The following is a 26,579-nucleotide window of genomic DNA, read 5'->3' as shown; positions in this document are numbered from 1 at the left end:
TTCTACTAGGAAAAAAAAGACCTCTAGGGCCCAGAGGTCTAGGCTAAGCTACCTACTTCTCACAATGACCTATTTTTACTGAGCTCTTTGGGATGCAGCTGCTCACAAAAGTGAGGTGGGGAGTAATCAAACCAGATTAGTGGGCTCCTACTCAAAAGTATCCAAGGTTTATTTTCCAGCTGACACTATCACATATTTCTTATCCATATTTCTTGTGCTTGAGTTGAAACTCTCAGCTGCATTTCAAATTACTGTTCACTTTGACTTTCATCATACCTGGCTATCCTTTTTTTCTGTTTACCAACAATGGTTAATTATTTACCTTTTTAGAAACATTAGTTTCCTTCAGATCTAAACCTCTGCTCATTTGTCCTACATTCACTTCCATATCCTTTTATGTGATGTAATATATACCATTTCCATATTGATGATTCTCGGCACTAATTTTCTTTTTAAAAATTTTTTTTATATTTTTATTTTTTGAGACGGAGTCTCACTCTGTTGCCCAGGCTGGAGTGCAGTGGCGCGATCTCGGCTCACTGCAACCTCTGCCTCCCAGGTTCAAGCGTCTTCTGCCTCAGCCTCCTGAGTAGCTGGGATTATAGGCATGTACCACCTTGCCTGGCTAATTTTTATATTTTTAGTAAAGATGGAGTTTCGCCATGTTGGCCAGGCTGGTCTCGAACTCCTGACCTCAGGTGATCTGCCTGCCTTGGCCTCCCAAAGTGCTAGGATTACAGGCGTGAGCCGCTGTGCCCAGCTGCACTAATTTTCTCTTTGAACTTAGGGGCCTTGATGAGAATAGTTGTTCAGCATGTCCCCCTGTCCCATGAAACTTACTGAAACTAATTTTATTCTTATTCTCCCTAGTCCCTTCTTTCCTTTTTCTGTTTAGTAGCACCACTGATTCTACCATCTTAATGTTTTAGAGACATCTCTCAAACTGTTAGATGGATTACTTGGGGACTTCACTGGTCACTGTCCTATATATTTAACACATTATCCAGATAATTCTGATGCACACAAAAGATTAAGAATCACTATCTTCAAAAGTCATCTTTGCCTTCTTTCACAACCCCTACCCAGTGTTTTACTATGCCCTCTTGAATTTTTTGCCCATACTATATGTCGGTAATAGCCACTTGCTATTTCTATAGCAGTGGCTAACCTTAGATTCTTAGTTTTGTTCTTCCATTGTCTTCTATATTCTAGGACACTTTCTTCAGGTATTATTTTAATAATATTAGTCACCTGTTTAAAAATCTTCAGTAAATTTCAGGAACAAATTTGTATAATATATGATATCAATCTTGTTTTAAAAATAGAAAGAAGCCAGCCTCTTTATATTTTTAAATTTTATAAGAGGTGGCTCATACCTGTAATCCTAGTGCTTTGGGTGGCTGAGGTAGGAGGATTGCTTGAGGCCAGGAGTTTGAGACCAGCCTGGACAACATAGCAAGACCTCATCTCTACAAAAACAAACAAACAAACAAAAACTCAAAAAGCAAACCATTATCCAGGCATGGTAGCACATGCCTATAGTCTCAGCTACTCGGCAGGCTGAGGTTGGAGGATGCTTTGAGCCCAGGAATTTGAAGTTACAGTGGTCTATGATCAGTCCACTGCACTCCAGCCTGGGTAGCAGGGTGAGACCTTGTCTTTTAGATAGAATAGATAGATAGAGAGAGAGAGAGAGAGAGAGAGAGAGAGAGAGAGAGAGTAAGCTAGAGAAAGGAAATATACTAAAATGTCAATGCTCATTATTTTTGAGGGTAGGATTATGAATGATATTTATTTTATTTTTAAAATTTCTGTTTTTTCCTGTGTGTATTTACTTTATAATTAAAAGAAAACTACATTTTTTAAAACCTGCACTATTTCCCTATTGGTTTGTTCTATCAAATGCAAATTCTTCTGTTGGCCTTCAAAAACTTCACTTTGAAGTCTTTACCTTCCCTCCTTTCCTGCCTTACTTTCACAAGTCTAGTGGTTCTCAAAGTATGATGCCTGGACGAGTAGTATCAGCATCACTTAGACTTTGGAAATACAAATTCTCAGATCCCTATCCTAGACCTGTTGAATCAGAAACTTGGGATAGGGATCAGCAGTCGTTCAAGTCCTCCAGGTAATTCTGATGCATGCCGAAGTTTGTGAACTTCTGTACTAGCCTATCTTTTCATTATGCCTGCTGTAAATCTCTTGTTCCAGCTAAGCCAATGTCTATGCTAGTGCTTCCCAAGCTTTTCTGGACATTTAAATAACCTGGTCATCTTAATGAATACAGATGCTGGTTCCTATCCTCAGACATTGCGATTATTGATAGGGAGTGACCTGGTCATCGGGACTTATAAATACTTCTCAGGTGATTGTAATGTGCAGCAAAGTTTGGGGACAACTGGTGTCTGACTACTTTCACCTAGTCAGCGTTTCCAAGGGAATTCCTTGCTCTTCACCTGTGTACTGCTTTCTGCTCATTGCTGAAAACTGTCCAAAATATACTTATTCTGGGAATCTGTCTTTTTTCGTGTGTGTAGACAGAATCTTACTCTGTCACCAGGCTGGAGTGCAGTGGCACGATCTTGGCTCAGTGTAACCTCCGCCTCCCTGGTTCAAGCGATTCTCCTGCCTCAGCTTCCCGAGTAGTTGGGACTACGGGCCCGTGCCACCACACCCAGCTAATTTTTGTATTTTTAGTAGAGATGGGGTTTCATCATGTTGGCTAGGATGGTCTCAATCTCTTGACCTCATGATCTGCCTGCCTCGGCCTCCCAAAATGCTGGGATTACAGGCGTGAGCCACTGTGCCCGGCCTATTCTGAGAATCTGTCTTTATCCCACTCCTTTGATCCCTGGGATGTTTATGGAAACTGAATACTGTAAACTGTTTACAAATAGTTCCAAGTTTCATTCGCAAGTGAGTATTCATATGCCTGGTTGACAGGAAGTTATCATTTTTTTCCTCTCCCTTTAAAAAAAAAAAAAATTTCCCTGACTGCCTCCTGCTCAGCATTCATGATTCTCATAGATATTAAGACAAACGTGTGACTATTGTAGAATACTCAGATGATTATTGTTATTCCTTAGATTCTTTTTGTTATATTTTAAGATATCGCTTCAATTTTTGTTTTATTCAAGCTGCAACAGATCAACTTCATGAGCCTAATGCAAATAGTAGGATCATCCTTTGCTAATCTCCCAGATACACAACAACTTGTACAGCAGTCTCAGTCTGTGCATTTAGGGGAAAGCCAAGAATCAAACCTAAGAGGATGTGGTGATGTTGAAGACAGCAACAAAAATCTTAAGGAGAGATTTTTTATTAAACCACAGTCAATGGGAGAGAACGCCAGAGAGCCTCGCAAGAACAGCCCACACTGCCATGAAGGAACTATCCCATCTGGTCAAAATAGTACTGGAAACGTACAGGTAATGTATGTAAAAATACCATTAATGGCTGGGCGCGGTGGCTCATGTCTGTAATCCCAGCACTTTGGCAGGCCACACCTGAGGTTGGGAGTTCGAGACCAGCCTGGCCAACATCGTGAAACCCCGTCTCTACTAAAAATACAAAAGTCAGCCGGGTGTGGTGGCGCATGCCTGTAATCCCAGCTACTCAGGAGGCTGAGGCAGGAGAATCGCTTGAACTCAGGAGGTGGAGGTTGCAGTGAGCCGAGATCATGTCACTGTACTCCAGCCTGGGTGACAGAGCAAGACTCTGTCTCAGAAAAAAAAAAATAATAATGTCCTGAGTAGTTCAATAGTCATCGTGTTTTTTATTGAATAAATAATTTTTTTTTTTAGCAGTTACTACATTCTACCCACTGCAAAACATACTGAATGCCATTTACAAAGGAAGGAATTTCTAATATATTCTAAACTTACATAATATCTTTTTTCTCTTCCAGAATGTTCCACATGGGAGTATTCCTTTATGTCAATTAAATGGCCAGCCCCGGAAAAAAGGACCAATTCCATCATCTCAAAACTTACCATCCACTTCGTTTTATCCAGCTCCTGCTGGAAATACTCACCTCTACCTTTTGTCCACACCTTCTGTTGTTCAGAAGGCACCTAGACTTATCCCACATGCAAAAACATTTAGTCCTGGTGATGGCTTTCCTTTGCTTCAATTTAAGTCTAAACAAGAATTCCAGCCCCTTTTCTTACATACAGGAAGTATTCCACAAGTTCCCTTCAGGCCTTTGCCACAACCAAGAGAGGCTTGGGGATTATCTGACTCCTTCCAACCTGCTCTGCCACAGAGAGCAGCACAAACTACTCCAGCATCCCATTTGAATGTAAGCCAGTATAACACTGAAGCCAGAAAAAAAGAAGTTGAGCAGAAGACGTGGGCAGAAACTGTAATTACAGAAATTCCTAATCATGTGAACTTGGATCAATATGTTGGACAAGAAAATTTGACACCTCAACAGGACTCTTCAGTGTTTATAAAACCAGAAAAACTATTTGATGTTAAGCCAGGGACCCTTGAGATATCTCCTCACCATTCCTTTGGACTTCCGTTACTATACCTGCCACTTAAACCTCCTAATATGTTTCCATCAACCTCAAGAGCATCTATTACAGTTCCCTCAACACCTATCCAACCTATAGCAGAAGAAAGAAAATACCCAAGATTGTCATTACTTCATTCACATTTGTCCCCAGAAAATAGGGTAATGAATTTTTGTATGGTAATGCAAAAGCAGTGTCCTGCACTATTTTTTTCATACCATAAGTACTGTATGGTCACTGAAAAGCTCTTGTACATAAAAAAATGCTTGTTATAGAAAATAGCATATAAAAATTAGGTTTAAAATAATGATTGTAGCTGGGCATGGTGGCTCATGCCTGTAATCCCAATACTTTGGGAGGCCAAGATGGGAAGATCCCTTGATCCCCAGGAGTTTGAGACTAGCCTGGGTAACATAGGGAGAAGCTGTCTCTATTAAAAAAAAATTGTGTATTTTAAAGGTTTTAGGTCTTTCTATCAATACTGGAATTTACTGGACTCTTTCATAAATATTTCTGCTGCTCTGGGAAGAAATAAGAAGTAAAATTACCAGGTACTCTGTGTCAGATTTAAACACTCAAAAAAGAAAGCAAAAAAATTACCAGATGCTCTTGTTTATGTGTGTGTAGAGTGGAGAGCAAGTGAGCACACATATTGTTTGAGGTTCCTAGCAATTATTGTATGATCTTCAAATCTTTGACAGGTTAAATTTGTTAAATAGACCCAGAATCTGTGATTAGTAGCATATATATTAAAATGGTAGTTTTATAAACCCACCAAGTCCTCTTTAAAGGTATAACTTTTGATTTATGAAATTAAAATGGTTTAGGCTCTAGTTTTGAGGAGAGCAGTACTATCTTAGGGAGGTAATTGAGTAATGCATTCTGTGGTGTACTTTTATGATTTGAAGATGGTACTGGGAAAGGAAATGGTTATTCCTTAGAAAAAATACTTACCATGCTTCCTTTTCTTCTGAACATATAACGAGCCAAAGAAGAACCCCAAGTTTTTATCACCCAATTCCCAAGGCTTCAGGGATTTTCAGCATATTGCTGGTCTGTTCCATCTGTGGTTTTTGTGCCTCTACATCTTCCCTGTTCCAAACAATTTTAAGTTAAATGCTGGACATTATATAATTTCATTTATAAGAGGAAAGGTTTTTTTTGTTTTTATGTATGAGACGGAGCCTTGCCCTGTCACCAGGCTGGAGTGTAATGGCGCCATCTCAGCTCACTGCAACCTCCAACTCCCAGATTCAAGTGATTCTCCTGCCTCAGCCTCCCAAGTAGCTGGGATTACAGGCACGCACCACAATGCCTGGATAATTTTTTATATCTTTAGTAGGGACGGGGTTTCACCATGTTGGTCAGGCTGGTCTCAAACTCCTGACCTTGTGATCAGCCCGTCTCGACCTCCCAAAGTGCTGGGATTACAGGCGTGAGCCACTGCACTTGGCCAGAGGAAAGCTTTTTAATAAGGGAATGAAATTAGGAAGTTGAGAACTTCTAGCTTAATTTCTGAAATAGGATGACCCATTTGAAACTTTCAGCACTTTAAATCACTTTTTCTCTAAGATATGTATACTCATATTGCCAGTTTAAATCAATTTGTTATATTTGATTTGTTCTAACTGTTGCACAGTTTAATTTAAACAAATGTATTTTTCCTCAGTCTTTTGTTGAAATATTACATAATTGAGTTTGCAATTTGTCATTCTTATGCTTTGTTTCTTTCTTGTAGTGCAAAAAAACACAACTTATCCCACTTGAAAACCTCATTGCGTTTAAACAAAGCCAACAGAAACTAACACATAATTTATTTGAACAAGGTGATGCTGGACACCTTCAACTTCTAAAGGTCAAAATAGAACCACCTGAAGTAAGACAAGGAAAGGACAGTAAAAAAAGGCAAGGCTTAAGTGAAATTTTATTTGATAATATCATATATCAGCAAGTTCATTATTATTTATAATCACACAGTAATCTGGTTCAGTCTCCTAGGCTATACACAATTGCACATTCAGTTTTCTTTTCAAGTGTCATGCATCTGAAAACATTTTATGTGAGAAAAATTCCTATTTTGCGAGACAAATACTATAATTTTTTCCCATTTTATTAAGGAATTCTTTCCTACCATTCATAGACTGGAGGATTCTTTTACAGTGTCGGTAATAGGATGAACAGTCATTTGCTGCTCAAATATTTGGTACAATATCCCATATGCAGTAGTCCTCCCTTATCCCCAGGAATACATGCCAAGACCTTCAGTGGATACCTGAAACTGCAGATAGTACTGAACCCTATTATATATTTTGTTTTTTTCTATATATGCATGCCAATGATAAAGTTTAAGTTACAGATTAGGCACAGTAAGCAATGCACAATAACTAGTAATAAAATATAACAATTATAACTATATTGTAATACAAGTTATAAGAATGTGATCTCTTTCTCTCTGTCTCTCAAAATATCTTACTGCACTGAACTCATCTATTTTCGAACCATGGTTGAACTCTGATAACTGAAACCTTGGAAAGTGAAACCATGGATAAGCAGGGACTACTGTATCATCTAATACTTTGAACCAATCATCTTACCGTATTCTTTAGACTCTTACAGTAAGCAGGAGGGTAGGTGATGTAAATTGTTTCAGGGCACTAAGAAATGTGTATGTGAAAAGCAAGGCTGTGACTTCTAGTGAAGAGCACTTACTGTAGTGTTTTACCGCATATATTGATTGGTAGATTATTACTAAGTCTAGAAAATACTTTTAAAATTTCACATTTATCAGACTGTAAAATCTGTCACTAGTGCTCTCTTTCCAGAAATTTTCTGTTTCCATCTATTCCCTCTTCAAATTAAGTCTTCCCTTTAGCATTTTGAGACCTCTTTCCTCCTTGCTGTAATTTTGCTGAGGTGACTAAGTGTGCTTAATGTCTTCAAATAGACAAATGGAGGTATCTGATAGGGTTTCTGGCACCAGCTTCAAATCCACAGAAAAGAGAGTTTAATAATTACCTAAGGTGTGTAAACCTGTCCTTAGATTCCAGTGACTAATATAGAATAGTCAGTTCAGTAGTAGAGGTTCTAGAAATAAATTTCACATTTGGTGTTTTGCTTATATTTGCTTGTATTTGCAGAATATCTTGCCAATTTAATTAAATGCTATTGAAAATAATTTATGAACGTAATTTTGTCAACTGTATCCCTATATAGCATGATAAATGAAAAGCAAATGTTGCTATAGTTGTAAAAGTATGTTTTATGCTATTATGTTTAACAGGCAAAGAAGAAGAGCTGAGAAAGAGCTGCAAGAAAAAAGATGTGAGAAACTGAGGAGAAAACCAAATGTGACTTTTCGACCAGAGAATTCCATAATTAATAATGATGATTCAGAAATCATTAAGAAACCCAAGGTATAGAAAAACTGCTATAGATTCTTCCCTGGTTTGCATGTACACTGAGTTTGGTATGTCTTTGTGGTTTATCTAGTCTGATTGCTGGGAGCTTCTGACTGTGACTAGGAGGATCTTCATATCATTCAGTATATCAGTCCCTGCTGCCTCCCTCCACAGAGCAGTAGACATAGAGTTCTGAATGTGAAAAGCAACTTGATGGTACATGAAAAACTGCAGTTTAGAGCATCTGCCTGTGTGGCTTTTTTATATTTGAAATCACCCTTTGCTTATTTCTATGACATCTTAATATATATATTATGTTATTTGGGCTTCTCCTAATACAGTTTCACCGTTCTCTGAGATTCCTCTAGGATTTCCCAAACAGGTTTGTTGTGTAACCTCTATTTTAAGTCACGTCTTTTTTTAAAATTTAATTTATTATTATTTTTTAGAGATAGGGCCTTGCTCTGTTGCACAGGCTGTAGTGCAGTGGCATAAATATAGCTCACTGCAGCCTCTACCTCCTGGGCTCGGGCAATCCTCCTGCTTCAGCCTCCCAAATAGCTAGAACTACAGGTGTGTGCCACCATGCCCAGCTAATTAAAAAATATTTTTTGAGAGGTGGGACCTTGCTGTGTTGCCCAGGCTGGTCTCCAACTCCTGACCTCAAGTGATCCTTCCACCTCAGCCTCCTAAAACACTTGGATTATAGGTGTGAGCCATCATGCCCAGCTTTAAGTCAGGTCTTTTAAAATATACCTTCTATATTTGGTGACTAACTATTTTTGCAACAACAGATTAAATAGAGACGTATTAATAGTTTTGTTTACATTGATTTTTAAAAGGCATGCTTTTTCAGTCAGTCCTCAAGAGCATGTTTAGAGGCACTTAGTACAAATGTTTGTTGAGTCCATGAAAGATTTTTGACAGGATGGTGTACTATTTGAGTATTATCAAAGCTACTCTGTAGAAGAGAGTTGCACATGGTAACCTAGGAACGTTACATTAAATTGGTAATGCTCTTTTTTATTGTTTGGCTTATGTATTTTCTGAATTCATTTGTAGAGTTACTTTGATAGAGTAAATAATTTGATAGAATACTTATGTCTAGAATGATGGAAGTTGAAGTTATACATGAGAATTCAATCTTCATAGCTATTGATTTTTTTTTCAAAAATAATACACATCTTTGAGTTAATCATAGAGTAATCCTGTGGGAATTCATTTAGGAACAACAAGAACATTGTGGTTCCCATCCTTTGGATGACTTCGACGTTCCTTTTGGTATGTATGTGTATGATTAATGTAATGTCTAAGTTTAGAGTTAAAATTAGCTTTCTAGAAATATGTACAATATGAAAATGAGGCTACCTACATTTCTGCCCAGCTGACTACAAATTCAAGGGTTCCTATACTCCACCCCCCTCAACTCAGGTTTGATAATTGACTAGAAAACCCACAGAAATTGGGAAAGCACTTTACTTATGATTACAATTTTATTATAAAGGATACGCAGTGGTGGGGGTGGGCAGCACAGGGCTTCCATGCCCTCTCTGGGATGGTCATTCTCCTAGCACATCCATGTATTCACCAACCTGGAATCTCCCTTAACCTGTTTGCTTCAGAATTTTTATTGACTTTTCAGTACATAGGTATAATTGATTAAATCACTGGCCATTGTGATTGAGCTCAATCTCCAGCCCCTTCTCTTTCCCAGAAGTGGCAGTAGGATGAGTGAATTGGGGGCTGGTAGTTCTAACCCTCTCATCATGTGGTTGGTTCCTCTGGTGACTAGGGCCTATGCTGAAGCTATCTAAGGGCTTGCAAAGAGACACCTCTAGCATAAACTTAGGTATGATCAAAAGGGGCTCGTTAGAAATAACAGACACTCCTATCAGGAAATCCCAAGATTCTGAGGACCTGTGTGCAAGAAACTGGGTCTTTGTAGACCAAATATATATTTTTCATTATACCACAATGCTCCATAATTAATACTTTCTTATTCTACCTAGTCTTCCTGGGAGATCTCCCAGAGAAATCCACATGTAAACCCAAACTCTCACAGTAGACTTTGGATTTTGATTTTCTTTCCTCTTGAGTTTTTCCACTTGTGTAGAAATTACCTCAGGTACACCATGTGAATTCTGAATTCATTATTTCTACTCTGCCCCAACTGTTTTTTCCTCCTATGTTCTCTTTCTCCATTTGTGTTGATATCAGCCTAAGCCAGAAACACATGATTCTGAATTCTGTCTTCCCTCTTATCCATTCAGTAACCAATTCTTACCTATTTTGCTTCCTTTGTAATTCTTAAATTTAACCTGTTTCCCCATCCCTCACCATTACTAGGTATATCCACTCAAACCTATTTTCCACACACTGGCTAGGTTGTTTTCCTAGAATATGAATCTGACCATATCATTTCTCTGCTTAACAGCTTCTACTGGATCTTCATTAGCCAGAAGAATATCTAGGTTTCTAAGCTGGACGTGCAGAGTCCTCAACAGTTTTGGTTTTGATTCTACCATGTCTTTGAGATTCAACTTACATAACACTTCATTGAGAAAGCCCATTTTAGGCTGGACACGGTGGCCCACGCCTGTAATCCCAGCACTTTGGGAGGCTGAGGCGGGTGGATCAGTTGAGGTCAGGAGTTTGAGACCAGCCTGGCCAACGTGGCGAAACCCCGTCTCTCCTAAAAATACAAAAATTAGCCAGGCATGGTGGTGGGCACCTGTAATCCCAGCTACTCAGGAGGCTGAGGCAGGAGAATCACTTGAACCCGGGAGGGGGAAGTTGCAGTAAGCCGAGATTGCACCACTGCACTCCAGCCTGGGCAGCAGAGCCAGACTCCATCTCAAAAAAAAAAAAATTTAATAACATCCTGACACCCCATATTTTACTTCCATTGAGTTAGGTACTGTGCTGCTGGGCTCCTGGTAATCTGTTAGCTTCTCAATGATTACTTCCAATGTTTTATTATATTTAAGAAATGCTACAAGATGATAATACTTCAGCTGGATTGCATTTCATGGCCTCTGTAAAAAAGAAAGCTATAGGAAGTCAAGATGCAAGTACAAATACAGACCCAGGTAAATGCTGTTTTACTTTTTAAAAAAATTCATATATTTTGATACAATTAAGTTATCTAGACTTTTCCTTTAAGACAGTGATTTAAAGGGAATTTTTAATTATGTGATATTATTTACTCTGCCTAGATTTTTCTTTCCAGTCTTGGTATATACTGTAGAAATCAAATTGATAACTTAAGTAAAACATAATAGACACTTTTCTTCAAAATTGCCATAGACTACATCCTAAGTCAGTAAATATAATGCTTTGAATTTGGATTCTCTATGTTATTGATTACCTTTACTGGAATTGCATGCCCAAGGTTGGGAGGCCTGGGATTGTGGCTAGTGAAGGTGAGCTAGGAAGGACTGGACTGGGTTCGGTGAGGGAGGGGTATTTAACTGTGTCCAGGAGCAGAGGAAATAAGTGTTGGAGGACCTATTATTTGGAATGTTTCCTGACAAATTTCCTCTTTAATATTATTTATCATTATGAATAGCATCTTGAATAGTGCTCTACCCATTGTTATCACAGAAATTCTTTTTTATGATTTTTAGTAAACAATTTCTTTTACCCATGTACAGAACCTTGTGCATGCTTTTTAGCCTAACTTTATCTTATGTTTTAAAAATGTAATCATTGTAGAATATTTGGGTGATTTAGCAATCTATGAAGAAGATGAAAATTAACCATAATCACACCACTTAGCAATAACGGTTTGATATTGTTTTTTCTTTCAGTCTTTTGTGCATTTTACATTGTTAAATACAGTATATAGCATAGGTGTCCTCCCTTACTATCTAAACTCTCATTGTCCAGATATTATGGCTATCTTCTCTAGCTTTTCCATGAGAGTTTAGTTTAATCCTCCTGGGTCCCAGTGTTATTTTTTTCCAAGTACCTTGGGATGCTCTTAAATTAGAGTGTATCTTTAACATATTATTTATTTTGTTATTTGCATCATAGTATGTTTGCTACAATGTTGACGGCAATTCATCTCTAATGTGTTCAGTATTATTGCATATTGAATGCTAACTAATGAATTAAATGAATATTAATCAAAAAGTTATATTTAAAATGCTTTATATGTAGTTATCCTTGATGGGTTGTTATTTAAGAGTTGTTTAATGATGTTTGGGAAAATTAGATGGGCTAGGACACCTTTTTATTTCCATTTGAAATACTGTCATAAAGTCTCCTGGAATCAGAAAATTCACTATCCAGCACATTTGCAGGAGTGGATTAGATTTGCATTACAAGGGATACCCGTATTTTCTATCCTGTTCATTTCACTTTGATTTATATGTATGGCAAACATGTCCCTGTGTCATCAAAAAAGTACTTCATAAGCATATTCCTTCTTCCAGCTATACATTAGACAGTTTCCAGTTTTTTCTCCTACAAATTATGCTTCAATGAGTATCTTCCTGCATAAGAGACTTTTTTGGTTATTACTGTGATTTAGCTAAACTTTTTAACTTTGCCAATCTGATAGGTCAAAAAAAGTAATTATAGGCTGGGCGCGGTGGCTCACGCCTGTAATCCCAGCACTTTGGGAGGCTGAGGTGGGCGGATCACTAGGTCAAGAGATCGAGACCATCCTGGCTAACACGGTGAAACCCCATCTCTACTAAAAATACAAAAAATTAGCCAGGTGTGGTGGCAGGCGCCTGTAGTCCCAGCTACTTGGGAGGCTGAGGCAGGAGAATGGCATGAACCTGGGAGGCAGAGCTTGCAGTGAGCCGAGATTGTGCCACTGCACTCCAGCCTGGGCGACAGAGCAAGACTCTGTCTCCAAAAAAAAAAAAAAAAAGTCATTATTTTAATTTGTATTTCTTTCTGAATGAAGTTGAGCACATGTAAAATGGTTTTGATATAAATGATGACTCTGCATTTGAGAAACATTTTTTTTTTTTTTGAGATGGAGTCTTGCTCTGTTTCCCAGGCTGGAGGCTGGAGTGCAGTGGTGCAATCTTGGCTCAAGATTGCCTCCGCCTGCCAGGTTCAAGCAATTCTCCTACCTCAGCCTCCCAAATAGCCAAGGTCTCCTGACAGGTGACCTCCACCACGCCTGGCTAATTTTTGTATTTTTAGTACAGACAGGGTTTCACCATGTTGGCCAGGCTTGTCTCAAACTCCTGACCTCAAGTGATTTGCCCTCCTCGGCCTCCCAAAGTGCTGGGATTACAGGCTTGAACCACCACATCGGAACTGAGAAACATTCTTAAATGTTCATTATCTAAGCATGTCTTTGAGAAAGCCTTGGAGGTACATTGCTTTTGTTGCTAAGTAGTTTATCGAAGTTGGCAGCTGTTTCCTGAGTCTGCTATTCATCTAGGTGAAGGCCCAAGATATAAATAATAATAAAATTTGAAATTACATTAATTATTTAAAATTACATTGTTAAGTTGTCACTCTTTGTTTCTACCTATCACCTTTTATGCATAATATCTAATTATCTGTATTCATATATTTTAATTTTTTCTTGTGTTTGTGAAATTTTTTTGTTTTCTCTTTTTGTCTTAAATTTTTAATGTACTACAAGATAAGGAAGCTACTTCTCAAGAAGTTGTTTCTGAATGTGGTACCAAGCAGCAAATAATTTCTTGCATATCATGTGTGATTTCTTTTTTTTCCTAAGAACAGTATGACTTATTAAAGATGTATCTGCATTATGCCAAAGCTAGTCACCATCCCCCTTAAAAAAGCGGTTAAACCAATCAATTAAGAGAGAGGGAATGATTTCAGTATTTTTATTTTCCTTTTTTTTCTAGTTTTAAGTGGTTTAAATTTAAGCTTTGGTAACAAGTACTCAATATGAGTTACATTTGAAAATAGTGCTTTATTGAAAATACAGTGCTAGAAGATAAGGCTAGAGGCCTAGAACAAAAGGCACAGAGTTAAACTGTTTGTTGATCTGCTGTGACAGGCCTGTTTATTTTACTGTTAAATAAGAAGCAGTTAACGTTTGTGAAATTTAGATGTTAAAACACCTTAAGTGGTAAAATTTAATTATAGGCTCTGTGAATATACTATACACCACTGAATGATACCCTTTTAAAGAATGTGAATTAGGCCGGGCGCGGTGGCTCACGCCTGTAATCCCAGCACTTTGGGAGGCCGAGGCGGGTGAATCATGAGGTCAGGAGATCGAGACCATCCTGGCTAACAAGGTGAAACCCCGTCTCTACTAAAAATACAAAAAATTAGCCGGGCGCGGTGGCGGGCGCCTGTAGTCCCAGCTACTCGGGAGGCTGAGGCAGGAGAATGGCGTGAACCCGGGAAGCGGAGCTTGCAGTGAGCCGAGATTGCGCCACTGCAGTCCGCAGTCCGGCCTGGGCGACAGAGCGAGACTCCGTCTCAAAAAAAAAAAAAAAAAAAAAAAAAAAAGAATGTGAATTAGCTGGGCGCAGTGGCTCATGCCTGTAATCCCAGCACTTTGGGAGGCTGAGGCGGGCGGATCACGAGGTCAGGAGATCGAGACCATCCTGGCTAACATGGTGAAATCCTGTCTCTATTAAAAATACAAAAAAATTAGCCAGGTGTGGTGGTGGGTGCCTGTAGTCTCAGCTACTCGGGAGGCTGAGGCAGGAGAATGAACCCGGGAGGTGGAGGTTGCAATGAGCTTAGATCATGTTACTGCACTGCAGCCTGGGTGACAGAGCGAGACTCTGTCTCAAAAAAAAAAAAAAAATGTGAATTATGTTTCAATAAAGCTGTCAATAAAAATAAGCAAATAACAAGAAAGTGTTCAAGTTAAAAAAAAATTAGTTATAGGTTAATCTTCTAAAATCTGGTTTTGTTGAAACTTCCCTAAAGTAGACAAGCATGACTTACTATATCTGATACGGAAATAGGAAATTTTAGCATTTTCTTGATGTAATTTAGTTACTTTATTGTTCTTGTAAATCATTCATATGAGAGAAACAATAGTCAGCTTACATTCAATTATGAATTACTTTAAATTGCCCTTAGAATAGAATGTGCTTTAATTATTTATACCCATGTCACTTCTACTTAGATTTCAAGAAGTACAATTTATGTTGTTTGTTGCTAACTTGTTCATACAAAGCTGATGATTTGGAGCAGTTTACAGCCTTTTTTTGAATGTTCCTGATTATTTCTTTTTTAATTTTCAGAACATGAGCCTTTGACTGCTCCTCAGCTCTTGGTCCCAGATGTCTATCTAAATCTGAAGCTTTCCAGTGAAATGTCAGAGAAACCTTGGTCACCCTCAATACCTCATACAGTAACAAACTTGGTTTGTGTTTTATTCAGAAGTTTTAATAATACCTTTGCGCTAAAATGTATTATGGTCATGTAGACATTATTCAATTGGGTAGATGAAATGAGGTTAAAAATCTCATCTATGTAGCTTTGTAGTAAAGGTTCAAAAATTAATTTAAGCATTATGCCAAAAATATTATAAACTAAGACCAATAATACATACTTCCTGCTCCTTTTCCTAAGTTAGGCACATTCAGGCCCTTCTTTCCTTGTTTTTAATAAGAATGAAGAATTAAGCCTTTTTTTTTTTTTTTTTTTTTTTTTTGGCGGAGTGACCACATAGAGTAAAAAGAATGTAACCCTCTTTGGTTTTATGTGTTTTGGCTCAGGTTGGACATACTTATATAAATGTGATTGACATTGAAGCTAATGATCTTCTACAGGAATTACCTGTGAGAGAAGAGCCTTCAAATGATAATGTTATCAAACAGCAAAGCGATCATCTAGCAGTTCCATCGTCTGCAGAGTTACATTATATGGCAGCTTCAGTTACTAATGCTGTTCCCCCACATAATTTTAAGAGTCAAGGTAATTTTTTCCTACTTTTAAAACAAATATAATTTGAAAAGTTCTTTAATATAGCATTGTTATCCCTACTCACATCTCTTACCTCTCCTCCTACAAACCCACTGTATTTTTGGATGTTTACATGCACAGAAATGTTCTGTTAATCTTCGGATTACCTTATTTAGAAGTTTAGAATCAGTCTTTGAATGCTTTTCATAGTCTTGATAGAATCAGCCAATTCCTCTATGGATTTATTTTCTAAACCTGCAGAAGTAACTCCAGCTTGTCTGGATGGAAAAAGCTTGAGAGCAGGCATTACAGAAGTGAAGGAGCCTAGTGTCACCTCACCTACACCATCAGACATACAGCAGAACAAAGGTAAACAGCCAAGAGGTATAGCATGACCCTCTCCTGAATTACTGTTGTATTGGAAACAAGCACCAAAATTTGGTAATTGCAAAAGAAACCAGAAAAAGGGTTGTCCCTTGCTAAGGAGCATGGGGGCAAGTAGGTAAATGAAATAGAGACATGATTCCAAAGCTGGGAACCATGGATATTTTGTAAGAAGTCACAGATCTGTTTATGCATATGTCTTTTCTCAATTAATAGGGCTAAAAATAAATATTCTTTGTGAGTTCATGAGTGTTTTGATGTTAGAAAGCAATTCTCATATTGTAAAAGGTGGGAAATTCTCAAATAGCACACCAAAAATAAACAGGCATGGTAGCCAACAGTACTTTTTTTCCCAACTTTTATTTCAAATTCGGGACACATGTACAAGTTTGTTACATAGGTATATTGCATGATGCTAAGGTTTGAGGTATGATTGGACGCATCACCCAGGTAATGAGCATAGTACCCAATAGGTAGTTTCTCATCCCTTACCTTCCTCCCTCCTTCTCTGTCTTGTAGTCCTCAGTGTCTGTTGTTTCCATCTTTATGGCCAGGTGTATGCAATTCAATAGTACTTATAAATATTCAGTTTTATAGTCAAGTTGCATTATGGTAACTTTTTGCAAGATTTAGAAGACTATATATATTTAAAATTTTTAATAAAATACATATATATGTGTGTGTTGTTTTTTAGAGACAGAGTCTTGCTGAGCTGTTCAGGCTGGGGTACAGTGGTGTGATCATAGTTCACTGTAGCCTTGAACTCCTGGGCTCAAGGGATCCTCCTGCCTCAGCCTCCTAAGTAGCTAGGATTACAAGCACACACCACCATGCCTAGCTAATTTTTAAAATTTTTCATAGAGACAGGGTCTCACTATGTTGCCCAGGTTGGTCTTAAACTCCTGGTCTGAAGTGATCATTCCACCTCAGCCTCCCAAAGTACTGGGATTATAGGCATGAGCCACCACACCCAGCCTAGAAGAATATCCCTCCACAACCTGAAGCTACTACATCCTGTGACTGGTTAGATTAATCCAATATGCAATCAGACTTCCTGCAACAGAAACCTAAGTCTCCCCTAGGTTCCACAGTGGTTGTGAGGTATGGACCTAGTCAGCCCTGTGGTTGCAAGATGCTTGGGCACAGAGTCTAGCTCTGCCTGATTATTGTATAATGACAGTGGGCACTCAGGAGACATGAGGAGCAAGGAAGGGATGGTTTAGGATGTGTTAGGGCATGTGTATTAACAGCTGCATATACAAACAAGTGCCAGCATTTCAGATTTTAAAGCCTTCATCTTCTCTCTTCTGTCATGGGGCTGCTAAGATGCATGAGTGGTGGATGGAGGATGTATGAAGCTAGCAATCTTTCAGACAGGGGAAGTATGTGGGAAAGTGAAAGGAGCCTGGCTTTTAGATTCACATAGAACAGACCTGGATTTGAATCCCAGCTCTGTCATTTAATAGCTTAGATACGTTTTACTTTTCTCTCTGTGACCCCTGAGTATGTTAGGCCAGCATTTCAAATGACCATAAGCTACAGATTAATTTCATTTATCAGACAGAGAGAATAGATTTTGCAGTAAGTTAATGGAACTTGCTTAGTTTGAGAAAATTAAAGTTTGGCTGGGTGTGGTGGCTCACGCCTATAATCCCAACACTTTGGGAGGCTAAGGCGGGTGGATTTCTTGAGCTCAGGAGTTTGACACCGGCCTTGGCAACATAGTGAGACCCTGTCTCTATAAGAAATAGAATAATTAGCCAGGTGTTGTGGCACACACCTGTAGTCCCAGCTACTCAAGAGGCTGAGGCGGGAGGATTGCTTGAGTCCAGGAGGCAGAGGTTGCAGTAAACCAAGATCTCACCACTGCACTCCAGCCTGGGTGCTAGAGCAAGACCATGTCTCAAAGAAAAGAAAAGAAAATTAAAGTTCATTATGTTTGGAGTCAAATGGAGTAGTATTTTGTTTGTTCGTTTAAAGAAATAGCAAGAGATGAAGCTGGAGAGGTAGAGAGAGGGAAGATTATGTGTGCCATTGTCTGTCATATGGAGGCATTTGGACTTTTAAGGTGAAGGTATTGGAGACACACTGAAGAGTTTTGGACAGAAAAGGAACATGATTTCTGTTTTTAAAAGATCTCTCTGGGCCTGGTGTGGAAGATGGACTAGATAGGCTAGAGATAAATTACAGATAGGGATATCATTTGGGGTCTATTTATTGTGAAAGCTTCAGCCAAGTAGTGGTATTAAGAATGTAGGTGTTTAGCAGGTAGAATCATCAATACTTGTTGTCACTTTGGATCTGAAGGAAAGAGAGGAGCCTCGAGTGACTTTCTGGTCTCTGGCTTGTGAAACTGAACGGTGGTGCTATTTGCTGAGCTGCGGAACAAGGAAGAGGGAGCAATTTGGAGGGGCAGAAGCAGTGAATTCATTTTTATATGCTTATGGGACAACCTAACTGGGATGTTCAGGATATAAGGAGCTGGAGCTAAGAAAGAGTGCCATATAGATTTGGGATCTTTCATCAATGACATAACTCAGAGAAAGTGGGAAGAGTGAGTAGAGAAGTGAGTTGAGGCTGGCAGCCCAGGAAGTACTTATGGGTAAAAGGAATGGATGGCAGAAGAAGAAGTATGAGCAATACAGTGAGGAGGAGACCCCAACATCAGAAAAAGAGTGCATTTAAAAAAGGTGTTGCAGACCAGGCGCAGTGGCTCATGCCTGTAATCCAGCACTTTGGGAGACTGAGGTGGGAGGATTGCTTGAGCCCAGGAGTTCAGACCAGCCTGGGTGACAAAGCAAGGCTCTATCTCTTAAAAAAAAAAAAAAAAAAAAAAAAGAACTATTGCAAATTTGGGAGAAGAATCAACTGAGTTTAAGAATAAGAAGAGTCATTGGCTTTGATTTTGGTTTTAGGAGGTTTAATGTTTGCCTGAGATCTCATATAAAGTCAGTAATAGCCAATATTGGGGATAGCTTTTAACGTGTGATGTTTTTGGTTTTCAAGTAGAATTTGAAAAAGTCATAAAAATATTAAAGTTGCTTTTTGATGAAGTATATGTTTGTAGCAAGGGATGAAAGTAATATTCAGACTTCCTTGTTTGTGGAACTTTGTTGTAGTAATTTATGTATTCTTATCCCAGAAATCAAGAAGCTGAAAAGGAATTTTTAGGTATATTTAATTAAAACTGATTTGGAAAGTAGTGTTGTGTTGGTTTAAAATGAAGTCATCAAAAAATGAGATCATCAATAATACCTCTTCTTTAATTATAATCAATTCTGCTTTTATTCTTATTAATATTTAGGTCTGCCAAAACCAGAGTTCCGATTCAAAGGACAGAGCACAAAGTCAGACTCTGCAGAAGATTATCTATTGTGGAAACGGCTGCAAGGTGTCTCTGCAGCTTGCCCTGCACCAAGCTCTGCAGCTCACCAACTAGAGCATCTCAGTGCTAAGCTTCAGAAAATTGACGAGCAGTTGCTAGCAATACAGAACATTGCTGAAAACATAGAACAGGATTTCCCCAAGCCTGAAATGCTAGATCTACATTGTGATAAGGTAGACTACCTTTATTTTTAGTTTTTTGTTTGCTACTGAATTATTAGATTTGTAGTGTGATATAACTTTGGATACCTGATTTTTCAAAATAATGAGAACTTTGTTTTCTTTAAGCTAGGGTTTGTCAACCTCAGCACTATTGACATTTGAGCCAGTTAATTCTTTGTTGTGGGGGACTGTCCCATGCGTTGTAGGATATTTGGCAGCATCCCTGGTCTTTACCCACTGGTTTCCAGTGGCACTGCTCCCTAGTTGTAACAGTCAAAAATGTCTCTAGATAATGCCAAATGTTCCTGGGAGCCAAAATCACCCTCAGTTGAGAACAATTACCTTAAGCTTTTAAGAAGTAAACCCATGTATAATGCTATTATCATAAAATGAGTTGGAAAATATTACCCTCTCTTCTATATTTTGGAAAATTTTTTATAGGATTGGTACTATTTCTTCCTTAAATGTTTGGTAGAATTCAGTGAAGCCATCTTCCCTGAAGATGCTTAAAGTTTTGTTTGTTGGGACATTTTAAAGTATAAATTTAGTTTCTTCTGTAGATATAGGGCTATTCAGCTGATCTTCTGCTCTAAATAAAGCTTTGTCTAGGGTCCTCCCATACAAAAAGGAAGTAAACCCATGCTTCCTACCAAGAAAAGAAATACATGAATTACAAAACTAGAATGTGATTTTAAAGGAACCCCACTTGTAATTATCATTTTTCTCTGAAAGATTTTATAATTTTACAAATATTATTGTCCTTCTATTTGGAGTTTTTGTCAGTTTCTTTTAAATATTTTATATAAGAGAGTTAGTAATCAGTTCCTTAGAAATTTTTCATATCTTTTTTTCTTTTTATTCTTGAGTCATAGTCTTGCTCTGTTATCCAGGCTGGAGTGCAGTGATGTGATCATGGCTCACTGCAGCCTCAACCTCTCAGGTTCAAGCAATCCTCCCACCTCAGCCTCCTGAGTACCTGGGACTATAGGTGTGCACCACCACTCTCAGCTAAGTTTTTAAAATTTTTTTGTGGAGACGAGTTCTCCCTATTTTGCTTGAACTAGCCTTGAATTCTTGGCCTCAAACAGCCTTGCCTTGGCCTCCAAAAGTGTTGGGATTGTAGATGTGAGCCACCACACCAGCCTAGTTTTCTATAAAAGGTAGACATAAAAAATAAATTAATGTTTATATATATAATGGTAGTTAAATAAAATAGGAAGTCTCAAAAATTATTTTACACATTTTGTCCTTTTTTTTAAAGGAAGAACAATTTATATCAAAAGGATTAAAGAACAAATATTATGTTACACATAATAGGTTAAATGAGACCATGGTTGGGTACTCGAGGCCAGGAGTTTGAGATCAGCCCAGGCAACGTAGCGAGACCTCATCTCCATAAAAATAATAATAAGTCGGGTATGGTGGTGTGCACCTGTAGTCCTAGCTACTTGGGAGGCTGAGGTGGAAGGATCACTTGCGCTCACGAGTTCAAGGCTGCAGTAAGCTATTATTGTGCCACTGCACTGTAGCCTGGGTGTCAGAGCAAGACCCTGCCTCTTAAAAAAAAACAAAGTTAAATGTCTTAAAGTCTAATATTGGGAAATGCAAAATAGTCTGCAGGATAAGAATTCCATTATTGACTTACCTTACAAAAATTCCAGGTTGCTAGCATGTTGACATTTAAAAAATGTATTTATTAGGTTTATAGTACACCTTTAATCCAAACATTTAACACATTTAAAAATAAAGATTAAGCATATGTGAAACTATACTGAAAGGTTATGAGGCAGGACTACTGCTAAAAATATTAATACTAAGTAATGATACTATGATGCTTATTTGGTGGTTTTCCTCTTTTTTTTTTTGGTAGATTTGGGGTTTCACCATGTTGCCCAGGCCAGTCTCCAACTCCTGGGCCCAAGTGATCCTCCCACCTCAGCCTCCCAAAGTACTGGGATTACAGGTGTGAGCCACTGCACCTGGCCTGCTTTCTGTTTTTTTAAACCCAGATTTAGATCTGTCACATCCAAATAAATGTACAGCATCAAAGCAGTTGTTGGAACTCCTTACTTCAAAGAATCTCTTTTGAAATTGCCTTTTGAGCTAGTTTAGTAGTCATTATCTACAGCCAGATATTTGATTTATACCCGAATCTAGTCTTGATCCTGGCTTGCTCACTCTCACAGGAGTTCATGAATAATTAATTCCTTCAACAAACATTTATTGAGCAACTACTGCCTATTAGGCCCTGTGCTAAATTCTAGGAATAGAAAGATAAATAAGGCATAGTACCTACTCTCAAGGAGTGTAAAATCTAATAAAAGAAGATAGATGTATATACCAATGAATACATACATACTGGGTCTAATGAGGCACATAGATATGCCTGACATGTTGTGACTGGACGGGGTAAGTGAAGCTGTGGCATCAGAGGAGGCTTTGTGGAGGTGACTCGAGCTGGTAATGAATTGGTATTCATCAGTTAATTAAAGAAAGGCTGACAAAATATTGTGAGCAAAGGAGAAAGGTACCAAATGGCATAGAGTGTTTGGGGAGCTGTATGAGCATTACTTAGAGGTAGAAGTTAGTGGGATTGGACTTTAAGACATCTGGCAGTAGAGGTAGGAGAGGGGAGACAAGGAGGAACAGAAAGCATTTACCATGTCAAGCGATTGGGATTTTCTCCTATAAGCAGGCAGTAGGAAACCACTGAAGAATTTTAAACAGTGAAGGGATATTATCAGATATGCAGACAGTAGTGTGGAAGGTAGATTGGAAAGGATAAGCCTGGGAACAAGGAGACCACATGGGTCACAGTGGTTCCAAATCTAATGGCTGCCCATTAGAATCATATAGGAAACTTGTTAAGAATGCAAATTCCTGGGCCCCATTTCCCTGAAATTCTGATTTTAAGTAGGTCTGGTTAGAGCCCTGGAATCTGTGTTATTAACAAGCTTCACAAATGATTCTTATGCTGCTAGCTCTATACCAGGTCCACTGATAAGTGTTTGAGATCCACTAAATATCCATGGCAGGAAATAACCATATGCCTGAATTTGAGCAGTAAGAATGGAGGGAAGGCATTAACAGGACTTAGAGATTGATAAGCTGTGGGAAGGTGAAGAAGACAACAGAGATTCACAGTGGTGTCCAGATTCCAGCCTGGGTGAATGGTGGAGCCATTTTCCAAACTAAGGAAGAGGAGGAGTTGTGTGTGTGTGTGTGTGCGCGCGTGTGTGTTGGGGGAGGGAGGCACAATGATTTCTATCAGGGACATGATAAATTTGAGGTGCTGTGAGATAAGTAGGCAGTTCCTCAAAAGCAGCTGAGGAGCTACAACTGGGCTGAAGGTACAGATTTTGGAGTAATCAGTTAGGGGGAAGTTCAAATCATGATAGCATAGGTGCTCCTCAGGGAGAGCACATGGAGGAGAAAAGAAGAGGGTAAAGAATCTTGTGGAAACACTGCCTTGTAAGGATGAGTATTCAACAAGACTTGAGAACAGTCTGAAGTCATAAGAGACTCAGGAGAAAGCCAGCCAAAGCAGGAGTTGGAGGAGGGAGTTTCCACATGTCTGAGTCCATTAAGCATTTGGACTCCTGTGCATGTCAAGATCACTCAGATGCTTTTTCAGAGTATACATTCTATCCCTGCTGAATCTGTTGGGGAGGTGGAGGTGACTTGGCATTTTGAAAAGGCTCTCAAAAATTCTGATAGGGCTCCTCTCTCAAGCCTTTTAAGACTCGAAGGTAGGGACAATGTCTTTTGCTACACATGGTGGGCATTTAATAAATATTTGTTCAATGGTTGTCTTTGCTATCTTAGTTTTGATTCTGGCACTAATAAAATCACATTTATATACTAAAGATTCACCAGTAGAACAGTTATTTATAATTGTGGTACAAGGTTGGGAGACAATTTCAAAGGAAGAGTTCCAAAAGCATTTGCTCAAAGCCCTTACGTACAGTAGTCCCCTCTTATTTGCAGTTTTGTTTTCCGAGGTTTCTGTTACCTTCTGTACAGTATAAGAAGATATTTTGAGAGACAGAAAAAAAACACATTCATATAACTTTGATTACAGTATATTGTTATAATCGTTGCATTTTATTCTTAGCTATTACTAATCTCTTACTGTGCCTAATTGATAAATTAAGCTTTATCATAGGTATGTACGCATAGAAAAAAACATAGTATACAGTCGGCCCTCTATATCCATGGGTTCTGCATCTGACAGTTCAACCAAATGTGGATTGAAAATATTTAATAAAAACAAAAAAGGATGGTTGCATCTGTACTGAACATGTGCAGATTTGTTCTTGTCATTCCTGAACAATACGTCATAACAACTATTAATAGTTAACATTTACATTGTATTAGATATTATAAGTAATCTAGAGATTAAAGTATATGGGAAGAATGTCTATAGGTTGTATGCAAATACTGCACCATTTTATATAAGGGACTTGAGTCTGTGGATTTTGATGTCAGGAGCCAATCCCTCATAGATACTGAGGGACAACTATATATAAGGTTCGGTACTACCCCCACCGTTTCAGGCATCCACTGGGCGTCTTGGAACATATCTCCCAGGGAAAAGGAAGATATTTAGTCTTCTAAAATGACCACTTTGAAGGAAATAATGTTAATTTTGTATACACACACACACACACCACAATTTGCTTATTTATTTAATTTAGTTTTGAGATGGAGTCTCACTGTGTCATCCAGGCTGGAGTGCAGTGGCTCAATCTTGGCTCACTGCAATCTCTGCCTCCCAGGTTGAAGCAATTCTCCTGCCTTTGCCTCCTGAGTAGCTGGGATTACAGGCACCTGCCACCATGCCCACCTAATTTTTGTATTTTTAGTAGAGACGGGATTTTGCCATGTTGGACAGGCTGGTCTCGAACTCCTGACCTCAAGTGATCTGCTTGCTTCACCCTCCCAAAGTGCTGGGATTACAGGTGTGAGCCACTGGGCCCAGCAGGTTTGGTATATTTTTAAAAAATGCTCTCACATTATTATAATGTACACATAAATACAAACATCTTCACTTGCCTAACTTAAGAAAACAGCTTATAGTCCTGGAAGAGGCCCAGGGATACTCTGGGCAGACACTGAGTGGTAAATAGTCTTGAAGACCTGGGTTGACCGTGTTATGCCACTAAAAAAGTCATTGAATCTCTCTGGGCTTTGTTCTCTCATCTTTAATACGAATTTGTCTAGATAGTAATTAAGGTTCTTCATTCTAAAATTTTATGATACAATTTTCCTGAGCCTTTTAAAAGTTTATAACTCAGTTAAGCTACAAATAAGTAAAAATTTCCTCTGTTTTATTGATCCCTACCATTTAGCTTATATTGGATTTAATCCCATTTTTTTCACTTTTGCATTAATGCAAGTGTTTAAAACTTACATAAAACTGTTTGTTATTTTGAAATTATCAAAGTATTACTGTTGTTTTGTTGTGTGTGTTTTTTCTACAGATTGGACCAGTGGATCACATTGAATTCTCTTCTGGCCCTGAATTCAAAAAAACATTAGCTTCAAAAACCATTAGCATTTCTGAAGAAGGTTTGTAGGGGCTGATAGGGGCTGGCTGAAGTCTTGCTTTAGTTGATCTGAAAGAATGTGCATTGTTTTGTGGAGTGCCAGAAGTAGGAGTAGTTTTCATTATGTGAGCTGAAGTCATAAGCTTCCCAGTTTTTAGATTAGGATTATTTTTTTGTAATGTGATTAGCTTCCACCTCACGGCCTTTTTTTTTTTTTTTTTTTTTTTTTTTGAGAAGGCAGTAACCTCCTCTGGATTTTATACTAGGATGGGGCAAGTGTGGCCTGGAGCTCAGTTTTTGTGGATTCCAAGCCATTGGCCTCATAGTGCTGAGGATTGCACAGAGCTTTGTGCTGAGGTTGCTGTTTGTCTGTGATCATCAGCTGAGCTGGAATTTGAGGTTCTGGTAAAATGGCCAGGCAGTGGTGAGGTATTAAGTTTTTTCATTTTTTATTGAAAGAATGAAATTAGAATAGTTGTTTTTACCTTCTGCTGTGTCTGTGGTTCATACCTGTGTTCTCTTTCTCATTCAGTCTTGTCAGTTTAGTCTTTTCAAAAACCAGTGTTTGTTAATTCTCTTTGTTTCTCAGTTTCCTTTTTCATTAATCTTTATTATTTCTTCTATTTTGGGGGCATTAACTTGTTGGCTTTTTTCTAACTTTATTTTTTCTTATTTTCTAATATGTGTAATTGAGGCTGAATATGTTTCTGCATGGACCTAGACAAGAATGTTGATACTCATCATCATCTGGTGGTGTTCAGGTCTACATAGTTTGTAGTTCGCATTATGATTTCTTTAGCTTGTAAAAGGAGTTTTTAGCTTCTAAATATTAAGCATTCTAATATTGGGCTATGTTTTTGTGGTTGATTTCCATTTTCATTGCATTTTGATTAGCTGATGTGTATGATGATATCAATCCTTAGATATTTGTTAAAATTTCCCTTGTGGCTGAGGATAGTCAGTTTTTACATTATGTTCCACATTTATTTGAAGAGGCCAAACATTTTCTGTTGGTTGTATGTAGTGTATGTGTATATATCTCCCTTTGGTCAAGCTTCTAAATTGTGTTGTCCAGATTTTTTGTATTTTTTCTGATTAGTCAGCTTGATCCGTTCATTTCTTAGAAGGTTGCATTAAAAATTACCCATAATGATTGTGGAATTATTTCTCCTTGTAAATCTGTTACATTCATCTTAAGGCTATAAGGTGAATATAGTTCAGGATTGTTATATTTCTTGTTGGATTTTGTCTCTTTTATCATTAAGTAATAACCCTCTTTATCCCTAATAATCCTTTTTGACTTATAGTCAATTTTG

The 26,579-nt window shown here is 38.2% G+C and overlaps 1 protein-coding gene across 50 annotated transcripts in view, besides 1 other annotated feature; it reads left to right on the top strand.

Annotated features, from left to right (window-relative positions):
* The window catches only part of CPLANE1 (ciliogenesis and planar polarity effector complex subunit 1), a 173,708-nt gene that overhangs the window by 75,911 nt on the left and 71,218 nt on the right, over positions 1–26,579 (top strand). For 25 of the 50 annotated variants that reach the window (XM_047417561.1, XM_047417562.1, XM_017009761.3 and 22 more), the window contains 11 exons: positions 3,135–3,425; positions 3,905–4,675; positions 6,253–6,419; positions 7,795–7,927; positions 9,139–9,193; positions 10,900–11,001; positions 15,121–15,242; positions 15,598–15,796; positions 16,046–16,153; positions 19,473–19,726; positions 25,198–25,285. In XM_047417561.1, the coding sequence (XP_047273517.1) occupies positions 3,135–3,425; positions 3,905–4,675; positions 6,253–6,419; positions 7,795–7,927; positions 9,139–9,193; positions 10,900–11,001; positions 15,121–15,242; positions 15,598–15,796; positions 16,046–16,153; positions 19,473–19,726; positions 25,198–25,285 (2,290 nt within the window). Of the gene's footprint in view, positions 1–3,134; positions 3,426–3,904; positions 4,676–6,252; positions 6,420–7,794; positions 7,928–9,138; positions 9,194–10,899; positions 11,002–15,120; positions 15,243–15,597; positions 15,797–16,045; positions 16,154–19,472; positions 19,727–25,197; positions 25,286–26,579 lie in introns of those variants that run through there. The other 25 variants (XM_047417572.1, XM_047417571.1, XM_047417557.1 and 22 more) reach the window with 4 other exon arrangements.
* Positions 20,579–20,761: a silencer, noted in NCBI's record as "fragment chr5:37152807-37152989 (GRCh37/hg19 assembly coordinates)". NCBI's record gives its function as "represses an EF-1alpha promoter that drives an FKBP-Casp9 reporter gene in an ReSE screen in K562 erythroleukemia cells {active_cell/tissue: K562}" and the evidence as "EXISTENCE:reporter gene assay evidence [ECO:0000049][PMID:32094911]".

This window comes from Homo sapiens, chromosome 5, assembly GCF_000001405.40.
Source record: "Homo sapiens chromosome 5, GRCh38.p14 Primary Assembly".
NCBI lineage: Eukaryota > Metazoa > Chordata > Mammalia > Primates > Hominidae > Homo > Homo sapiens.
This window is presented reverse-complemented; position numbering and strand designations above follow the sequence as displayed.